We start from the raw sequence: 22,599 nt of genomic DNA on the forward strand, positions 1-22,599 counted from the left end.
ATCCCCATTCTAGGGCTAAGAGCCTGGCGATTGTGTAGGGCAGAGAGGTTCTTGTAAAAGGCAGTGTCTCCCACCCCCCATGCCTGCCCTGACACACTCAGCAAAGAAGCAATGAGGAGATTGATTCTCCAGGGTCTCCCACCCTGTAAAGGGCAACTTCACACTCCTGGACCCAAGGCCCTTGAAATATCACATTCAAAATCCACTGGGCTGTTTCTAGGGCCCACTCCATCCAAGGTAAACTGTTCATTACCCAGCGATAGGGGCTCAGGTGGGGGGCGAGGGGGCTATGGAGAAGTGAGCTCATTGAAATCCGGATAATCCCCAAACCTCATTTTCCCTACTGCATACGACTGCCTCTGCCCTGCCCCCTTTTACCAGAGCGGCCAAGAAGCCACTGGACCGCTTTGCCTGGTGCTCCTTTTATCTTCCTGGCCCGAGGGGTCCATGGGCTAATGATCAGTGAAATCAGGAAAGGCCGAGAGGCCCAGCTAATCCACAAATTGGATCATCCGCCCCTGAATAATCAAGAGCTGCTGGCACAAAAGTTGGTTTCTCTCTTTGATCATCAGCACGCAGAGGACACACCTACATTTGCTTCCTGTGGGAGTCCTCTGGGGAATTCGAGGCTGGTTCTGTTTGGCCAGATACAATTCAAATGCAGGACTAAAAAATCCCAGTGTCCCAGTGTCCCTGGGTACTGTTTTAATGTGACAGCGAGGAGAGAATTGAAATTCTAAAGAGGTCGTGTAAACTCTCGAGATTTGATGAGCCAGTTCCATTCTGTGTTGTAGACACTTCTCCACCAAGGGGGGGATTTAATCATATGTAAACCTTATCATGCCATATCTAATGTTGTATATCTTAATAATAGTGATATATCGCAGTGATGCTGACAAGAATAGTTCAGGCATCCACTGCTTTAAGAAAACCTGAGGTACAGAAACCATACTTCTGGAAGAAGAAAGAAGAATGGTTTGTCATTATTTGTGTTCCAAGATGGTTTTTTCCCTCCCCTTAACTAAGGCTTTCTTTTAGATTCTTTTAGGTAGCAAGCATATCGGTGACTTTCAAGTGATTTAACTGATAAAAACTGCATTTACATACAAGCTGTCATGTATGGGTTCATGTGGTACATGCAACTGTGTTCACAATTTTTCATGATCATTAAGGAGCATCCACCTACACTTGATCTTGGCCAACAAGCTGAACCTGATAGATGTCCTCTTCTCGGGCTAGGAAATTCCCATGCACTGTGGTGTTATAAGAGTGGGTTCCAAAGTGAAGGGAAACTGAGAATTTCGTTGGGAAATTTTTTAAAAGAAGAAACATTTTAAAAGAAGGGAAATGTTCCCATGTTATGCCTTTGCAATGGCATGGACCCTAGACTCTCTTTGGACTCAGATAGACATGGGACTGAATTCCGACTCTGCCACTTATGGACAATGTTATTTACTGTCTCAGAGCTTCAGTTTCTACCTATGCTTCCACATCCTTCTCAAAATCCTCTAATACTTTTTCTTCTCACCCAGAATAACATCTGCAAGGCCTCATCACAGCCTGTAGGACCCATATGATCTGGCTGCTGATCTCTTCATTCTCTTGTTCACCAAGCTTTCACAACCCAGCCCAGCAAAGCTCACTTCTGCCCCAGGAACTTTGCACATGCTCTTTCTGATCCAGGGAAGCTATTTCTCCAGACCTTTGCATGGCTCCCACTCTTACCTCATTCAGTTCTTTGCTCAAATGTTATCTTCTGAAATATTGTCTTCCTGGCCACACATCCTCAGGTCCCTCTCTGGGCCCTCTGCAAGCTTGATTTCACTTCACAGCACTTATTGCCTGACATATATCATATTTATTCCTTTGTCGATTAATTTCATGTTTGTATTTGTTGACAAAAATGTGAGGTCATGAGGCAGGGGCTTTGTCTTATTTGTCCTTGTGTTCCCACTACCTAGGACTTTGCCTGCACCTGGCATAGACACCTAGTGATAGTAGACTGAATCACTTTGGGAACTGGTGATCATGAGATGTCGCCAGGATTAGTAACCATGTGGGTAAAGCCTGGCAAGAGCAAGTAAATGATAAGTACTATTATTGTCACTAATATTATGAGCCCAAGGCCTAGTAAACATTGTTTGTAAATACTTGCTGAATCTGTTGGACTTGAAGGGCTCAAGGGACCTATAATGGATGGCAGGTCAATTCCTCTTAATGAACACAGCCTCAGGAACCTGTGTTTCTGAAGCACCTGTCAAGACCCCCTCCTCCTGTTCAAGGGTCTAAAACTCAAAAGCTTGCAGGGGCTAGACAGATAATATAAACAACTGAAGCTGTTTGAGTGGGAGCTGTTGAACTGGAAAGGCCATGTTCAACTCCAGGTAAAGACCTAGGGTTGCCAGAACTCTTACTTTTTCAAGACAAATTGGAAATCCAGACTTTTATATAAAATCTCCTAATTTTAAAATGTTGTTTACTGACATATTTTGGATGTTTATTCCCTCCAAATCTCATGTTGAAATGTGATTTCCAATGTTGGAGGAGGAGCCTAATGAGAGGTGTTTTGGTCATGGGGGCAGATCCCTCATGAATGGCTTGGTGCCCTCCCTTCAGCAATGAGTGAATTCTTGCTCTATTAGTTCACATGAGAACCGATTGTTAAAAAAAGGCTGGTACCTTCCCTTTCTCTCTCTTGCTCCTTCTCTTCCAAGTGACACACTGGCTCCCCTTGCCTTCCACCATGATTAAATGCTTCCTCAGGCCTCACCAGAAGTGGACGCTGGTGCTATGCTTCATGTACAGCCTGCAAAGCCATGAGCCCTCTTTTATTTGTAAATTACCTAGTCTCAGGTATTCCTTTATAGCAACATAAAATGGACTAATACAGTTATTATGTTGGGGGTTGACAAGACCACCTCCATGTTTGGAGATCCACTAGAAGGACTCACAGAACTCAGCATTTGTTTGTCACCACTTCTAAGTTTTAGTACAATGTGGTAGGGGTACACAGGCAGATCACAGGGGGAAAGACATAAGCAGAGCCTGGGGGAATCCATGCACAGCCTTCCTTATGTTCACTCCCTCCTAGAGGGCTCACACACTGCCCACTTTTCCCCAAGCAGCAAAAATGCAGCAACATGTGTGTGATGTTTCAGCCCAACGAAGCCCATTAGATTCCTTGCCCAAGCTTTTTTATTGGGGGCTGGTCACTCTGCCAGCATGTACTGAAATTCCAGACTCCCAGGAGGAAAGCAGATGTCCAGCATAAACCCCATTGTGATAAGAATGTCACAGTGAGCCACTCTTACCAGTTACAGAATGTTTCACTTCCATGTAAGGAACTGTTTACCAGCCAGGTTTCAAGATGCCAGTCAAGGGCCACCCTTGCAAGTAGACCTTTCTAAGGAGAGCAGTTTCAGGCTTTCTATGTCAACTCTTTACACAGTTACTAAATAAAAAATTGTAAGCTTTTTATTAAGAAATATTTCCAACACATACACACAAAAAGAAAGCGCTATCATGAACCTCCATGTACCCATCACTTAGCCGTGTCAACGAACATGCACCTGCATTGACTCATCTGTGTCCCCATCTGCTTCCCTTGAATTATTTTGAAGCAAATTCCAGAAATTGTGTTCCATCTGTAATAGTTCGGCAGGTATCTCTAAATGATGAGGACTCTTTACAAACGATTTGGAGTGCATGCTGTCAGAATGTAACCTCTGCCCTAGCCCCATGTCAGGAATCATTTCCAAATGACAATTCTCATTCCCTGGCTACTCTGTCAGACTTTTCTCCTGCCATCAATTCCTTAAAGACTTGAGCCTGAGGGGAAAGTGAGAGAGCACATTTTCTGGAGCAGCCCTGTGCTCCAGGTGATCAGGGATGGACAGCCTGGCACTAGGTGCCTGCAAGATGTTTGCTTTACCAGGATGATACTAGTGGCTGTTGGAGTGACTGATATGGGTTTCTTTGGCTTGATCATAAGCTGCTGGAGGGCAATTATTGTACCTGCTTTTATTTAGCTGTCTTCAGTGGGGCCCAAAAGAGGCTCCATGTTTACAGAACCCAGAAAACAAGTGACATCTGGGCCTCAGCAGAGGGACAGAGAACCGGAGGTGAGAGCAGCCACTTCCTGTGAACTAAGCTTTTCTTTCTGAATATTGCTGCCATTTGTGCCAAGAGATACAGCAAACAGAGAGGTGAGCACTGGACAGGAAGTCAGTGCTCACCTGACTAGATAAGTGTCCTTGGCCCAATCACTTCATTTCTCCAGCCTTAGTTTTCTCAGTCGTAAAGGTATGGGGTCAGTCATTCCTTCACTCACTCTACAAGCATTTATCATATGTTAGCTTCTGTGCTAGGTACTGTGGATATGAAGATTTAAAAAAATTTTAAAGTTCCTGCCCTCAAGAAGCTTACATTCCAGTGTAGGAAAGATATGCAGACACACACAGATAAATATATCAAGAATCCGACGTGATAAGTTATGTAAGAAATGCAGTGTTTTAAGACTTAGGTATTCATTACCTACTGAGCTCCCACTATGTATCAGCCCTGACTATAAACACATTGTGCCTACCCAAGCCTCACAATGAACTTGCAAGGGAGATATTACTATTCCTGCCCTTTCTGGCCCTTTCCCCACACCAATTTTGGATGAGACAGTTGAATCTTGGAGAAGTTCAATAAACTTCCTGAGGTCACATGGCTAGTAAGAGTCTAAACTCCCATTTCGCACCCAGATTTTTCTATCAGACCCCTTGGTATTTGGTGGTACCTTCCCTGGAGGGATGAACCTGGATGCCCTGTTGACTTCAACAACCTGTGATTCTGACTCTTTGTATGTTAGATATGAGTTAGGAAGTGTCTTGGGTTGGGTTCCCAAGAGGCAGACCCTGAGATTTGATTGTTAGTGATCGGTTAAGGAAATGCTCCCAGGAGAAACTGGGAAGGGAGTTTTGGGAAGCAGGACAGGGAAGGGGAAGAAATTTAGCAAGGGTATGATTTCAGAAAATTCTGCAAAGGGTAGCTGCAGCCTGATCCCACAGGGGACATCTGGAGCATATTGGACCTCAAAGTCATACCAAACAGAGGCCAGGGTTCTGGGCTTTCAGTCTCTGCACCTGTCAGTCACTGGCTAAAGGCTGCCCCCAAGGGGACATTTTCAGCTCTCTGGGTGCTCAGGCAGTGTGGCTCTGGTACCCAGGATAGTCCTCTGAAGAAAAGCCATAGGTACAGGAAGTTAGAAAAGTACACTGAAGCTCAGGAAAAGGGTGCACAGAAAAAGGGGGTACAAGAGGATCTAGGCAGAGCTACTCACAGTGTCCAGTACAAAGGGAGAAGGAGGCTTCTTGGGCCATCAAAGCACACAAGATAGTTATTGCAAATATGGAGAAGGTTTGACATTGTCTCACTTTTCTCTTGCTTTCTCAACATTCAACTCTTCTGCAGGACTTCTAAGAGGTATGGGTGGCCTCAAAAACACCTATGGAGAAATGAAATGAGGAATTTTGGGCTTTCTTCTTGGCTGGTTGGAGTCTTCAAAGGAACCCTGGGCTGAGAGTTCTGGGTCCAGTGCTAGCTGTCACTCTGGCTGTGTGTGTGACCCTGAACAGATCACATTATGCCTCCCATCTCACCAGTCGGGATAATAATCCTGTCTATCCTTTCCCAGGCATGCAGTGAGGGAAAAATGAGGTCACAGATGAAAGAATGCTCTGGGAAGTAAAAAGGATTAAATGAGGACAAAGTGTTGTCTTAATGATATGACAACTGGGCTGTGAAGGGAAACATATAAATGCCAGGTGTTTATTATCTCAACTAGCATTCGTATTAGTGTTATTATTTGTACCAACTGTAAGCCTGATTGTCAATGATGGAGAAGTCTCACCACCCCAGTATGTGAGACCTCAGGGGTTAAGAACTGCAAGGGGCCGGGCGCGGTGGCTCACGCCTGTAATCCCAGCACTTTGGGAGGCCGAGGCGGGCGGATCACGAGGTCAGGAGATCGAGACCATCCTGGCTAACACGGTGAAACCCCGTCTCTACTAAAAATACAAAAAATTAGCCGGGCGTGGTAGCGGGCGCCTGTAGTCCCAGCTACTCGGGAGGCTGAGGCAGGAGAATGGCGTGAACCCGGGAGGCGGAGCTTGCAGTGAGCCGAGATCGCGCCACTGCACTCCAGCCTGGGCGACAGAGCTAGACTCCTTCTCAAAAAAAAAAAAAAAAAAAAAAAGAACTGCAAGGATCCAACTTATAAAGTTGGAAGGAAGGGTCCACACAAGACCACACTCATTTCTGTGTGTGTGTGTGTGTGTGTGTGTGTGTGTGTGTGTGTGTGTGTGTGTATGTGAGATAGGGTCTCTCCCTGTCAAAGGCTGGAGTGCAGTGGTATGATTGTGGCTCGCTGAAGCCTTGAACTCGTGGACTCGAGCAATCTTCCCACTTCAGCCTCTCGAGTAGCTGGTACCATAGGTGTATGCCATCACGTCTGCTAATTTTTTGATTTTTTGTAGAGATGGGATCTCACTATGTTGTTCAGGCTGGTCTTGAACTCCTGGGCTCAAACAATCTTCCCACCTCAGCTTCCCAAAGTGTTGGGATTATAGGCATAAGCCACTGTGCTCAGCCCACTCTCACTTCTGACATCAACTTCAAGTTCAGAGGTTTCCCAAAACCATCCTCAGGTTTGATTTACTAAACACACTCATAGCACTCACAGAAATGCTGTTATACTCCTGGTTGCAGTCTATTACAGGGAATGGGCACAGTTTAAAGCCAGCCAAAGGAATACACGCATAGGGCAGGCTCTAGAAGGGATACAAATGCGAAGCTGTCTTGTCTTCAGGACATTCTCCCAGCATCCATGTGGCGATTCACAGAGTATTGACAACTTGGGAAGATGACCCCTGCCTCAGTGTCCAGAGTATTTGTTAAGGTTTCATGATACAAGTGTGAATGACTATATGCCTTTGTGGTTGAACTAAATCTCCAGCCCTCCTTCCCCAGATGTCCGGCTGATATCATATGGCCCAAGGAACACATGAGTCACTTCATTAGCAGAAACTATCCGGTGTGATCCAAGGGGTCCCCTTGAATAGCAAAGAGTTTATGGGTTACCTCCTAGGAGCTAGGGACATAGCCAGATCTCTCACTGGGCAAATCCAAATTCTTTCTTACACACCTCCACTCCCTCTAAGTTATCTTTCCAGACATAGCTCCAGTTCTTCCTTCCAGGGCTTTATTAGCCTCTCTTTTCTCTAATCTTCCATGGCACTGATTGTTGCTAATACACAGAGAGGAATGGTTGTTAAGTTGAGTAGTTAAGTTGTTAAGTTGCTCTAGCCTTTGGGCAGATACTTGGGTTCAAGTTCAAACTATGTTACTTCCCAGGCTGTGTGACCTTGGGCAAATTACTTAACCTTTCAGAGTCTCCATGAATGTTAGTTATTATTTTTATTTTTCTAATTAATCACATGCTGTTTACAACTTACTTGGTATTTGTATGATGGATTGACCCTTATTTTGTACTATTGTTTAAACCTCTTTAGGTCTTAATTTCTATGTTGCAATCTCTTTGAGTGAAGGGATTTTAGCACATTTTAAGGCTGAGACTAAGGCATTGAGGATACAGAGATGAACACTTTCATCCTCCAGGAGCTTTTGATTTTCTGGGGGAAGGAAGGAGACAGGTGGACGGTTAATTACAGTGCAGTGTGATTTGTACTGAGACAGAGGTAAACAGAAGGTACTTTGGGATCAAGGAGGAGGACTGGGGAGGATTGGTGGGAGAGGAAGGTCAGAAAGTCTCCCTGAAGGAGGTCACACTTAAGCTGGACTCTTATTATATTATTGGGCTTCTCAAGTCTTGGTGTGTTTTATAAGCATTTTGGGAGCTTGTTAAAATTATAGAAATTAGGGCCCAGCCCAACCTACTGACTCAGAGTGTACTCAGAGGGATGGGGCCCAGTCATCTGTTTTCATGTTGTTTGGTTGTTTGTTTTGAATTTGCCTGACTCTTGTAGGTACTTGTGTTTTCAAGGTCAGTAAGGAATGGCAAACTTTGTTTTGATACTTGTTAGAAAATAAACTACTGACTTTAGCGAGCTCATTTCATTATTAAAATCGGCAACATTTGGGAGGTTTAAATGAGGAGTCCAATTTGGGAAAGGGTTTTTGGCAAATGGTGAGAAAGATTAGTGACCACAAGGCTTCACAATCTGACTTTAGAATGTCAAGGAGGAAAGGGTTGTTAGGGATTGTCTGGCACAACATTGTGTAAACTCTGTTCTGTGGAGTCCTGTGGGGTCCCATGGAGCTGCCTTAAGGGTTACCTAGCTGTGTGGGGTAGAATTTTAGACCTCTTTCATAGCCCATGGCCCCTTTCAACCAGAGGAACTCTGCTGCTTTTGGCTTTATTTGTTGTCCTTCTTGGGATTGTTTTCTTTTGCAGAAAATGTTCTGAGACTAAAAGAACAACTTGATAGCCGCTGATCTTATTGAACACCTTCATGTTGCAAATGGAGACAGTGGGACTCAGCAGGAAGTCTCTTGCCCAATAGACACAGAGAGACTCAGTGGGAAGTTTCTCACCCAGTGGACACAGGGAGACTCAGTGGGAAATGTCTCACACAGTGGACACAGGGAGACTCAACAGGCAGTGTCTCACCCAAGTTGTTCAACTCCTGCTGCCTCAGTGTGTGCTGGAACTTGGGTCTGACGCCCATGTGTTGCTCTCGCTGCAGTGCTGTCCAGTCTCTCAGCTGCGTCGGGAGTGACCCGGCATAGGTGCTGCTCAGCATTGCAGACGTGATGTGTGTAAAGGCAGGAAAGACGCCTGGTCTGAATATGCTCCTGAGCCACTGCATCCTCAACCTGATAGGCCAAACTCACAAAATCTTATATATTTGCTTCCTGGAGAAAAGTCCTTAGAATCGTTTCATGGTTGCCTTCCTGTAGGGACAGGGCATGTAACAGAGGTTCCTGAAGCATCACAGGAGCCCAAGCTAATTCAGGAGGGAAGTCTCTCAGGTACTTCAGTGCATCTTGCTGGAATGCTGGGTTGACAGCTAAAATGACCTACAAATGGCTATGAGATACTAATGAAGTTGACAAGCATTTGGGCCTTAAAACACCTGCTCAGGTGACGTGGGCCCTGGGGCCATGGAGGGTGGGTGGTAATTTGTTAAGTTTTTAATCATGTTATGCAGTGGCTGTTGTTTTAAAGAAATGGGGCTAAAAATTAGCAGTCCTAGGACGTGAGTGAGTCTGGCTTGGCTCTTCCTCACCTCCCAACCTGGAACAAGTCTCCTGAGCTCTGTGAGGTGAGCTCTATAGTGAGCTCCACAAGGCAAGGACTAAGTTTTAATCATAGCATCCGGCACAGTGCCCAGCAAGTTAAGTGTTCAAAGTCTTGAGTAAACAGGGTTTAGGGGTACCTTTGGGCCACTGCTCAGTATGGGAATAACCCCCTGCTTTGCTCCTTCTTGAACTGCCTCTCCCAGTCACTGGAACTCCCCTTTCTCTCCTCTTACCCCCTCACTGAAAATACACCTTCTCGCTCACCTTTTCAGCCTTCCTCTTCTCCCTACTGAGGATGTGATTGTTATGTGAATGAAAAAAGTATGGGTTATGGGGGAGAGTGAAGGGCTGCCTGGATTCTATCCAGTTATACATGCTGCTGCTGGGAAGAACACGATGCGTGTGTCCTGCATGTTCACCAATGTGCTGTGCCTGGACAAAGGTGCATAAGCTCCAGCCCGAGGGCCATGTAATACTTGACAAACAGACCCTCAACACCTCTGGTATGCTAAACACCTTGGGGCAATGGATAGAGAAATGTGATACCTTTTCCTCCAAAGGAACACAGGCACTAGAAGAGCTATTCTATCATAGAGACAACAGTATAAGAAGTGCCATGTGGTGGAACATGAGTCATTAGGCATACAGAGGGTGGCCTGACTGTCTGAGACCACATCCTGAAAGAGAAGTGTCCTCTTTTTGGTTAGGTTGGCAGTGGAACTGCAGCTTCCCAGGGCTACTATGTACCATGGAGCAGGTCGTTCACTGGACATGCTGTCCAGCTGGGGGATAATGAATGCTGTAATCTAGCCCATGCTCCTTCTGGAGAGTTATGCACTCTAGCAGGGCTGCACAGGTCACTGTGGGCTCACAAGACATTAGCTGTCAGCCACAGTATGTGTGCCACCTTCTGCAGAATTGAGAGGCAGAGCTGGGCTCTCTGGCCTTTCATCCTCTACCCCTCACTCCTGGGCAAGTATCAGGGGCAACAGACCCTCATGTTTCCATGTAGGGTGGCTCTAAAATATGTTTGGGTCATGAATCCCTTCAAGAATCTGATGAAGGCTTTTAACCTTCCCCATCACCCACAAAGGCACATTCCCACATTAGCTTGCATGAAATGGCAAGATAATTTATTTATCTGAAGTCCATCAATAGAGTCTTTTCCAGAGATTACTCCCTATGGTCAAAGACCTTGGTACTAAAGTAGTAGTGGTCTTCTGCTCTGACTCATGTGAGAGGAATGAATCACCTGACTAATGGAGGATTCCCACCGATCAGTGTTTCTTGTTGAGTGGAGCTAATTTATTGAAAGGCTGGAGCAATGGGCATTTGACCTCTTCCTTCTCTTTGCACACTGGGCAGTCTGAGGTAGCCATCGTGGGTGTGGATGTGTGTCTTTGGCAATTCCAAGCTCTCCCTCTGGTTGGCTGTTCCTCAAAACACAAGAGGTGGGAAGTAGAGTGGGCAGGGAGGCTTATCAAGCCATTTTATGCAAAGATCTAGAATCAGGCTTTCCAAGTGACTTCATGGGTGGTCACCTGTGCTTGGGGAAGGCAGGAAGAGTAATGGAAAGGAGCACATAGACACAGTATTGCCAGTGTTAGTTCTTGCATGGGTGGTGAGTTTGCAATAAACACAAATAAATGAAAACAGAAAGAGGTCATACATGGACCAATTCTGAAATTGTGACATAAACCAAAGATCATGATTAACTGAGTTCCATGCATTGAGGCTGGACAAGAGGCAGGGTCTAGGTCATGGAGAGTCCCTAGGGATGTGCTAAGGAACATGGCCTTTGTGGTGGGCTATGAGGAATCCGACTCCAAGGTTGCCAGCTTGAATGAAAGGGTGGATTTTAAGGCTACCAACTGAGATATGAGAATAAGAGGAGAGGCCAGATTCATTATAACAGCTAACATTTATTGAGCACCAACTATGTGCCAAACATGTAGTTGAGTGCTAACACCTCAACAGGGATAACTATATTTAATTTTCATAGGAATGCTTTGCTATGTTTTTGTTATTTTACGGATAGTAAAACTGAGGCTTTGAAAAGTGAAGCCGCTTTGAAAAGTGAAGCCGCTTTGAAAAGTGAAGCCACTTTGAAAAGTTAAGTCACTTGTCCAAAGTCGCAAAAAATACACATGGTTGTGGTGGCTTTGAACTGTGTTAGTGTGGCTAGGCTAAGATAATTTCTCAAAACTCCCTTTCTTGTGTGTTTTTGGTTGTCATGGGCCACGGAGTGATTCCTGTGGGAGACTTGGAGGGCAGAGGTGAGGCAGTCACTGCTTTGCAGCTCCCATGCATGGACATGGCTCTCCTGGTGCTGCTAATCTGCTGGCTTGCCTCGTTGGTGTGAGGCAGCAGTTGGATCTGCTTCACCTTTTCCCTGAATCCTCCTTCAGCTTTCCCAACTCCTGGGCCAGGTGTGTGTTTAAGTCCGAAACAAAGATTCTGGCTTCTTCAGGAGACCCACATTACAAGGGTCAGAGGCAAAAGGACTGACCTGGGTCTTAGTCCATCTTCATGGGCCCTAGCTTGTACTCGTAGGGCCTAGCTGGCTCTTGCTCTCCAACGTCCCTTCCCAACGGTCTGCCCTGCACATTTAAAGCTCCAACACGTGATGCAAAGACACGTCTTACAGAGACCAGCTCCCACAATTGTGTAAGGTCAAATCCTTACAAAAAAAAGTTCCTTTATATATCCAAATTATCTATATCGAATCTGCATCTATGTATGTATCTGTATCTATATTTATCTATACCTATATCTATACCCACATCTATATCTGTATCTATATCTATAATGTGTTTCACACACATACTTGAAGTATACACACAAACATATACGTATATGTCTGTCTATCTATCTATCTATCTATCTATCTATCTATCTATCTATCTATCTATCTATCCATCCATCCCTTAGTGGCTGTGCTTCTGTGAGTGAACCCTGACTGATGACTGATGCTGATGCAGTGCTGTAACAAAGATCTGATCTCAGGCTGTTTCACCGCAGGACCTGCACACTTTAGTACTCAGATCACACAGCAGTCAGGTGGGGGTCCACTTTAGACAGGCTGAAACTGAGGTGCCTATGGGATGTTTGGGTGGCTGAGTCACAGGCAGTTGAAGATATCAGAGAAGCCTCATGCACAGTGGATGATCAGAGAAGGGGAAATGTGGGCAGGCTGGAATTGGAAACAAGTTTTATGGTGGTAGACTTGATTTAAGTCTCAAAGGCTGGTAGGAGCTGGTTAAATGGATGGGGGTGAGGGAGAGCAATGTCAATGGGGAAATAGCATGAGAAAAGCCTACAGCAGGAATAGGCAGCCAGAATGGCCTACAGCAATCAGCCCAAATGGCCTAGGAGGGGCCTATTGATTATATGGCCATTGCTATCTGTTCAGTTCTGGGAATTATATCTCCCCAAGGATATGCTGGGCTCTGGGTGTTGCGTATTGCACCTGTTAAGTTTCTAGTTTGAGTAAGTTCAATTTGTCTCAAACATTTTGTGAGCACCTACTATATGGCAGCATTGCATTGAACATAAATATGAATAAAACATGAACTATATCCTGGAGAAATTTGTGTTCAGGTTACAGATATTCAACACATTTCAGTGAAATTGGATTGAATGGAAATCTTGAGCCAATAGTAGGGCTAACTCTGGACTTCTGATTCCATTTTGGGGTTAATTGCTTGGACACAATGATAAAATAGGTCAGTCTACCCATCCACCCATACCTCCATCCATTCACCCAAAGCTAGCTTGTTTTCCCTACCTATTGATCTATCATTCGTCTATCTCTACTTATCAATCATCTATTACCTCTTGTTTTATTAAATGGAAGGCAGAATTTGAGCAGTCTGCAAAATTAGCCATATATAAAATGACAATTAAAAGATAAAAACAGGCCAGGCGTGGTGGCTCACGCCTGTAATCCCAGCACCTTGGGAGGCTGAGGGGGGTGGATCATGAGGTCAGGAGATCCATACCATCCTGGCTAACACGGTGAAACCCCATCTCTACTAAAAAAATACAAAAAAAATTAGCCGGGTGTGGTGGCGGACGCATGTAGTCCCAGCTACTCAGGAGGCTGAGGCAGGAGAATGGTGTGAACCCAGGAGGTGGAGCTTGCAGTAAGCCGAGTTCGTGCCACTGCACTCCAGCCTGGGTGACAGAGCGAGACTCCGTCTCCAAAAAAAAAAAAAAAAGAAGATAAAAACAGATAAAAAAATGAAGAAAAACATGTTGATAGTGATGGTGACTGAATAATTGTTATTGATTATTGCAATAACCAGTTACTGTAGCTGAGTGTTGCATTTAATGCTGAGTTTATTAGAAATGAAGGCAAAAAGAAAAAAAAAAAAAGATGCACACTGGGTTACCCAGTCCATAACAATTGAAGAGAAAAGGAATACAAGTTGGAAGAGATGGACATTCCCCGGCATTGTGTAGAAAGAAGATTTATTGTGTCAGGACTAAGTCAGGAGACCAGTTAGCATAATGGACGCAGTCTTCACTGCACTTCTGCAAAGGCAAAGGAATGCTCCTCAAATGTTTCTCCTATCGATCCTCTATAAAGGCCAAGGGAATAACATTAAACCTTATTTCAGCTCAGGCTTTTCTGTGGCAAACTAAGATAATAACGTCCAGCCACATTAAATTCAGATGATCAGGCTCAGAACAGGGAGAGAGCCCAGAGCACTTAGAGGAAGGGCTGGTTAGCTGGCTATTAGGCTCTATCTTTCAAATTTCAGTTGTCTCCAGAGAGTCTTTGGGTCAGGGGACTTTAATCTCCATACAAGGAAGATCTCTCCAACTCAAAAATACATTGTTATCAATTCACAACTTGTTCTATTCCAGGAGTAAGAGACCTGTAGACTTGGTCACCTTGCCCTCTGTCCATTTCTAAAGCAAGGAGCTAAAACACTGCATCAGGATCCTTCAGCTTAAAAAGAATTCACATGATGACCTCCTTCCCTTGAACACAGAATGACTTGTGAGCCCTTTGGAGAACAGTGCCTCCAGTTACCACGTCCAAGGCTGACACATTTCCTCACCACCGTGGCTTGCTCTCAGTGGGGCTGGCCCAGGGCATGGCCAGTTTCCAGGTTGGCATCCACCTCATTCTAGTTGGCCGCTCCACTGTGTCAGTGTGTCAGAGCATCAGCTGGAGTGGTTCCCAGAATTCATCCCGTGCTCACAGCAAAACCTTGAAGACTTAGGTCAGCCCTGAAGGCCAGCTGGGATTGTGAATGTTGAAGCCAGCGTCCCCAGTGTGAAGGTCCAGCATTCCATGAGGATTCATTGAGCACATGTTGGGTAAAGCATCTCGAGGTGCTTCAGTGTGTTGTGAAGAGGGGAATTGGAAAGAGGAGGAGCATGAAGGATGCAAAGGAAATAAATGGGATGGACCTGGACTTTTAGGATTATTCAGAGGGTTTAGAGAAAGGATGGATAATATCTGAAATGATACAACTCAATAAAAAGACGCCCCAGTTACCAGTTACCATGGCTGAGAGGCATGCCTCAGGTTACATACGTGGCTTTGGAAAAATCATAGAACCCCTCTGCTCTCAGGTTGCTCATCTTTGTAAAGAAGGAAAAGTAATAAATCTGCAGCTTTACTGAATTGAGGTGAGAGAACAAGAAAGATCACAGTATAAAAATGCACTGAGAAAGTAAAAAAGGGCTACGTAGAAATGTAAGTTGATGTGATGGTTAATATAATAATTATTGATTTTTAAATATCATCTGTGAAATCAATCTGCTTTGGTGTCCACAGTTACCAGTGTCAATAATGCCAGGCTTACCATGGAAGTCCACTCCAAGTGATGCAAGCATTTCCTACCTTTCCTCCTCAGCAGGCTCCATCAGCCAATGCTGTCTTCCATTGTCCTTCCCTTTGTGCCTCTCTAGACTTTCATACATGATTTGTCAGACACCCACACTTAAGCACACACCACACAAGTCATCTGACCCCCTGCTTCTCTCTAGGTAGCTTGCTACTGCTTCCATGTGTATTAGAGGTCAAAGCTCCTTCCTTCCATTCTCCTGCCCCATAGACACTGCCCAGCTCCCTGCTGCTGCCAGAGAAATCCTACTTGTCCAGCTCCGCTCAGCTCTCTTTTCCATTTCAGTAGACAAGATATTCTCTTTTACATGCACCACTTAAAGGAACATATAATAATATGCTATAACCATAGTATATCATATATAGTATATAACATAATATACTATATTATATAATATAACATGTGTGTTATATATATAATCATGTATAATATACTATATACCATATATTATTCTATATCTGTATTATATGTCCTATGTATAAATATATAATACTACATACTATATTACACATATAGCATGTATATCACTATATATTATAAATTATACAGTATAATTTCTTATTCAGTTTTCAGAAAGAACTCACTGAGGTATGTACTGTTGTCATCTCTGTTTTATACAGGTGAAGATACTGAGAGTCAGAGTGGTTTGGATAATTTGCCCAAAGCCATTTAGCTAGTTGTGTGTGAGCCGTAATTCTGACCTGGACACTCCTCTTTTAGCTACTGTTCTTTACTGTTTCCCACTGATTCTTGCATTCTCTAACAATAGATTATGATTTTCTTTATTGCTAATGCTGTTATTTGGTGGTGGGATGGTTGTGCCAAGGGATGTGTGTGCGTGTGTGTGTGTGAATGTGCCTGTGTACATGTGATGACTTTTCAATTTGATTGTCAGTTTCTTGAGTCCGTTCCTGCCCTAGAACCTTCCCTGTCACATGCTGAATAAGGCACAAGCTCACACTCCAGAAACTAAGCCTTTCCCCAGAGAGGCCCTAAACTTCCTTTCAGTCCTTCTTTGTGCTTTCTCTCCAGTGACCCAAACTAAACCCTTGACTCATTTAAGAGCCAAGCCTCTGACTTAGGCTGGGAACTCCTAAAGGTCACATGTGCACCGTTAGATTGGACACCTCAGTAGACAATGCTTAACGCAACAATGTAAAAAAAATCTGCTGGAGTGGCTATGGGCATATTCAAGACCACCCTGAGCCTTCAGCTCTTGTTGTCTCATCCACTGATGCCCAGGGACCTTCCCACAGCTTTAAACAGTGTGGCAGTTCCCTCTCTTGGAGGCCAATGTGAAAAACAAAGCATTTACAAGAGATGGTAGAAGACACCTTAGCATCTAATTGAAAACGTTGCCTGCTGTGACAAAAGAATTGAATGTTAGTTGCAGAAGGGGCGCTATTGTGTATGCACCCTCACAATCTTGTGAAAATGGGCAACATCTAAAACTCAGACTTTGTATTAATGGTGATTTGCCAATATTTTATTTGTGAGTTTGATTTCCTGTGTCTCTCTGGACCAACCCCTCCACCTCTGTGTGTTTTTGCTTTCTCCAGGGAAGATACAGAAATACCACTTCTTTTCTCTTCTTACGGTTACTGCACCTGACAAATTAAAATTGCTTTACAGGCAGTAGGCATTTTATGGGCCATCCCTGCAAGAAATAAATGTTAGAAGGCGCCGCCTCCCCATTCTTGCCAACCAAGGAACAGAGTTATGGGCGGAAAAGCAGCCCCACCTTTCCTTGCAACCTCTGCCCTCATCCTGCCCACCCCGCACTGCCCCTGCCAGCTCCAGGCGCTTCCCGCCTCATGCTCTCCTAACTTACTGCTCTAACTCTCATTCTCCCCACTCACATCCATCCTACACTCCCTAATCAGCATCCTCTTCTCAAAGTGCAGCTCTGCTCAAGTCCATTCCTGCCCCAGAAGCTTCCCTGTCACATGCTGAATAAGGCACAAGCTCACACCCCAGAAACAGCCTTTCCCCAGGAGGCCGCAAACTTCCTTTCACACCTTCTCTCCGTGCTTTCTCTCCAGTGACCCAAACTGAACCCTTGACTCATTTAACAAATATTTTGAGGAACTTACCATATGTTAGGCATTGTGGTGGGATCGCACACACAAGAAGTTTTAAAATGACCTGAACTGCCTTCACGTTGTTCAGGGTTTAGTGGGGCAGATATGAGACAGCAATATTCTGTGCTAAGTGCCGTCGGGGGTGAATGCCTAGGGTGCTGGGGGAGTATGAGGAGGGGTAGTTAACCAGCCCAGAGCAGTCTGGGAAGGCTTCCTGGAAGAATCCTGAAGAAATCAGCACTCACCACCTCCCAAGTAGCACTCTCTGCCTTCTTGTTCATGTGTTTTCTTCTGGATTGAGTGTCCCTGGCATATCTACGCCTTCTGAAGTTTATTCTTTGTTCAGGACTCATTCAAACCACCTCCTCATCCAAGAGTCATCTCTGGATTGCTCAACTTGAAGACAGCTTCCTTTATTGACTCCTGGTGGTATATTGTACATAGTCTTGCCTCTCGTGGTTCTTTGCCTTGTCTCACTCTGCTTTTTTTATAGTTTATTGACGTCATTATCTCAATATCTTCAACCTTATGTTTTATTCAGTATCCTTTTCCAAGCATAGAGCTTTATATAGCTGCCCTGATGCTGCCTGAATTAACTGCTTTGCGCATATGTCCCCCTAAAGAGGACCAGGAGCTGCCCAGGATGGATTTGAAGGGAAAGTGGAGTCAGGCTTGCTGAGCCTGGTACACGGTGTCAGAGAGCTCAGAGCCTGAACTTCATCAGGCCGAGGTCATGCATGGTCACCATATGACCCAGTGATCTTGGCCAGGAGTCCTGGTCTCAGTCTGGGTCCCAACGTTCATCTTTCAAGTGCAGGCCCTTGGTCACAAAACCATCATCTGTAGGAAAATGCAGAGGGCCCACAGTACAGGAGAGACGAGGTCGGGAAACCAGGATTCCAGTGCCACCTGTCACTTCCTGTTGAGTCACAGCATAGATCTTCACCTTTGTTTCCCTAGTTGCAAAATGTCAGTTTTGAATTAAGGGTTTTTTCCAACTCAGAATTGTGCAAACTAGGATGAAAACAGTTGAAATCACTCATTTTTTTGGGGGGGGGGTACAATGGGCAAATCCTAATTTAAGAAGTGGTTGCCCCGTGTTCACATGACATAGTCCAGCGTTCTCTGTCCTTTGATCCAGACTGGAAATATGTTTTCACTTGTTGACTGGAATTGTGCTGTTTTGGTATAAAAACAGGAAGAACATCAATATGAAATGCCACATTTTGCAGCTTCGATGACTTAACTGAAAGTTCATTCCTGCCCACTGGTCATTTGGTTCTGAGAATAGGCTGTAAAAGGTTTCCATTTGATATATTTCAGGCTATTTCACCCAAAAAGAGTTTGTAAGCAGGGAAGACATGAATTTTGAAGAGCATTAAGAGCTTCTGAAATTGTCATTAACAGTTCTCCTCGGTGCTCCACTTCAATGAAATGAGTGGCAGTGACATAAGAAAAAAAATAACAGCCCAATCTTTGTGTTTTGTAATGAATAATAAAGTATTTTAACCTCTTTAGGGACTTAGCACCACGTTAATCCTTTAATCCCTAGAAAAACCAATTTTGTTGACATAAAAAGGGGATATTTAACTTCATCCAATTAATTTTCTACCTTAGAGATGCCATGATTATGAAGATTAGATTGAATAGATTCATTAAAACTACTATATTGTGTATTAAGTAGAGGCTTTGACATCAAAAAGTAGCATCAGACAAGAAATTCTATGTCACAATTTTGTTTACGTATGCCCACTCTGAGGTGCCAGGGCTTTGAGGCCTTCATGTCTGGGCACTGTTGCTTAGACTGAACTGCTGACATCTGCAACTACTCAGCCACCATGCAGCCATTAAACCAGTGACTAGACTGACATTCCTGCAATACCAGCTCCCTCTGTCTGTTTGAGCTCCAAATTAGAACTGTGCTTGTGAGGAGGCTGAATTGCGTGCCACAGAAACATTCCTAACAGTAAAAAGTTAGCTAAGTGTGAACTCAATTTTAAATTACATAGCATGGGGAAGCACACCATTCAAATCGTTCTCAGAACAATGGATTGGAATTGGAGATGGAAGATAAATGGTTGGAGATTTAATTATTTTTGCACTGGACTTCAGCAGGCAGACATGGAAAGGTTTTAATTCCACTCCAACACCCAATCTCCAGCCAGAATTGAATTTACAGGGATGAAAGAGAAGAGATGATGGAAAGTGAGGGTTATGGGAGGGCCACAAGTATTTTAATGATGCAGTGCAAAGCCCCTGGACTCTCTTGGCTGAAGATGGCATCCTGAAGAAAGAAAAGTGGGACATGGAAAATGTCAGGGTGACCTATCACTCTTATCCCAGCAGTCACTTTCAGTAGATGTCACTGAGCCAGCCTGCCACCTAAGCTGGAGGGCAAGGGCATAGATTGTATGTGTTGGCATCCCTTGCATCCCTTATGTGTCTTGCATGGCTTCTGGCATGCAAGTAGCATTGTCTAGTATGGTGCTTTCTATGAGGAATAGCATTATACAACTACAAAAAAACAATACTGATGTTCTTTATGTGGCTTGTGAGGGAGCACAGTACCATGGGGGAATGGGAAGTTTTGGAAACAGCATCTGGAATCTGAATCTTTGTCTTACCACCCTCCAGCTCTCTAGCCTAGGATATGCTACTTGACTTATTTAAGACTTGGCTATCTCATCTGTTCAATGGGAAGAACTGTGTCAACCTCTTAGAGTTTTCGTAGAATTAAATTCTGTAAAGCAACTGGATAATGAAAACCCCAGAACAAGAGGTGCCAGGTTGACATTAGTTTACTTCGCTCTCACCATGTAGCAATTAATCTCATTTTTGTTTCCTTAGGCATGAATAATAGAAGTTTAAGGCACTACCAATGTCACCTAATTTTTCCCTTAATTTTGCACATGAGAAGTGCAATGATTTGCTTAATTCTTAAATGATTTGCTAATTGATTTTAGAATGTACCAGAATCGAGAATCCTGACTCCCAATTCAGATCTATTTCCATGAACTCCTATAGCATGATTTGATTGACTGACTCTAGCTTTAGGGGGAAGCATTTCTCATCCAGCCCATATTTTCTCAGGTGACTGAATTCAGCCCTCTATCCTTTGATCTTCCATCCCTCAGGGCCTCCTTCTAATCAGAAGCATTCCCAACTCCTTAAATTATCTGTTTGGGTCCCATGCTAACTGTGCCTCAACTCTAGAACTTCCATTAGGTTTTTTTCTGGGAAATAATATTGGTTTTCTCTTAGAAGCTGTTCTTTGCTGAACTTTTGTCCCTAAGTGCTTTTCAGAGTGTTTCAGTCCCTGAATAATAACATACATTTCTTTCAACCTCCAGTCTTCTTTAGCAGCCAGACCAGAGCTAAAGGCCAGGCCTCACATGGAAAGGAATCGAGGGGGCAGGGTTTGAGTCTTCAGATGGAGCTCTGAGCTGAGAACTGCAGAAGCCAAGTCCAGCTGTGTGTTGCAGTGGCTTTGCTTAGCCCTCTTCTTTTTTTTTTCTTTTTGAGACGTAGTCTTGCTCTGTCACCCAGGCTGGAGTGCAATGGCATGATCTCGGCTCACTGCAACCTCCGCCTCCCAGGTTCAAGTGATTCTCTTGCCTCAGCCTCCTGAGTAGTTGGGATTACAGGTGCGTGCCACCGCACCCGGCTAATGTTTTGTATTTTTAGTAGAGACGGGGTTTCACCATCTTAGCCAGGATGGTCTTGAGCTCCTGACCTTGTAATCCGCCTGCCTTGGCCTCCCAAAGTGCTGGGATTACAGGCGTGAGCCAAGCCCTCTTCCTTTAAGTCTGCTCTGATTATTTCCAGAATACCAGTGGTAAGGTTAAGTTAGGGTGCCCTTGGGGTTGGTACAGCAGACAGGGAGGGAGACCAAGGCAGGAACTTCTCCACACTTGGCTCAGGCAAGGGCAATAGCCACAGGAAATTGTCTGCTACATTTCCTGGAAGAGTATTGGGTTTGTTCCTGCCAAAGACCAACGTTCCAGGTTTGTCTCTTATCTTCCTGAAACTCCACAGTCTTCAGAAAAATGGTAACATTCAGCAGAACCATTTGTTTGTAATGGAATTTTCCAGAAGGATACTGGCAGCAGACAAATCTTCAGGGACTAAATGTAGCCTGATTGGCAGAGGGAAAGGAAAAGAAAAACATCTGGCACCAAAGACAGCAAATGAGAAGGTAGTCCATGTACTGTGGGCCAGTTACTGCTACTGCTGCTGCTGCTCCTGAATTTACTCATTCATTCAACAAAAAGTTTATTGCATACCTTTTCTGTACCAGACACTAGAGATACCATAGGGAGAAAACCAGAAATGTCACCTGCCTTTATGAAGCCTTCATTGTTCTTTCCTTTTCCTAAATGTGTTTGTTAGAGTCCTAAGATTTCACCATAAGAAATATCCTTGCTATTTATAAAACACTTTACGACTTATTAACCATTGATGAACTACCCTCTTAACAACCCTGTGAATGTATTCCCAATTTATTAGACAGGAAACATAAGGTTAAGTGTTACCTTAAGTTGCACAATAGTTGGCTCTCAGTCTCCATATCTCAGAGTGACTTTGCCCTAAACTGGAAAATTATTGCAAGTTCCAGAGCTTATCATAAGACCAAGGGCTGGCATGCTGGTTCCTTACTATTAATCCCAACAGAGTCACACAGCTCAACAAGGACCTCCTTGTGGGCTAATGTGTCCCCAGTTGCATATGGCTGGAGTCGTCCCCATCTTTATCCTTTCTAAGTGAGCATGATTTTCTAACAAGACCCTCTTTGGCCACCACACCACACTACACTGTCCTCTCAGAACAGTGAAAGGCCACAGTCCCTAGCTACAAAATTTGCCAATGCAAAGCCACACAGTAGAGTAGACTGACTTTAGGTGCCAATGTTGTTCGAAATGCAAGTGGGTTTTAGTTGCATATTTTTAAAAGTTTAATAGGTTGTTTTCATGAGGACCCCCTAACCCCCAAATGTCTAACCACCTCCATGTGGTTGAGGGAGACTCAAACCCTGTCCCTTCAGTTCATTCCCAGAGAAGCAGGGCATGCCTCTAACTCTGGACTGGCTGCCTGGGACCACTGGAGATGGAAAGAAGGGCATGTTCTTATTCAGGGACTGAGACATTCTCAGACGTCATTGTCAGCATGAGACCTGCTCCAACTACAGTGGGAAGGAACTGACCCTACACCATTCTTGGCTACAGTTTTTCTGCCTTCCTTCCCCCTGGGTCTCAAGAGGATGAGGGGTCTTTGGGTTTGAATGGAGCTCCTTCAAGCTTATTTATGATTTAATCCATCTCTGTGAAGATCCGTTGAGCTGGAGGAGGAGT

The 22,599-nt window shown here is 44.4% G+C and overlaps 2 annotated features.

Moving 5' to 3' along the window:
• Window positions 16,929-18,128: an enhancer, noted in NCBI's record as "MED14-independent group 3 enhancer chr2:119007000-119008199 (GRCh37/hg19 assembly coordinates)". NCBI's record gives its function as "activates an origin of replication core promoter dependent on BRD2, BRD4, P300/CBP and CDK7 cofactors, and independent of MED14, by STARR-seq in HCT116 cells {active_cell/tissue: HCT116}" and the evidence as "EXISTENCE:reporter gene assay evidence [ECO:0000049][PMID:35650434]".
• Window positions 17,647-17,696: an enhancer, noted in NCBI's record as "active region_16445". NCBI's record gives its function as "activates an Ori minimal core promoter by ATAC-STARR-seq in GM12878 lymphoblastoid cells {active_cell/tissue: GM12878}" and the evidence as "EXISTENCE:reporter gene assay evidence [ECO:0000049][PMID:35858748]".

The sequence above is a fragment of the Homo sapiens genome, chromosome 2, assembly GCF_000001405.40.
Source record: "Homo sapiens chromosome 2, GRCh38.p14 Primary Assembly".
NCBI lineage: Eukaryota > Metazoa > Chordata > Mammalia > Primates > Hominidae > Homo > Homo sapiens.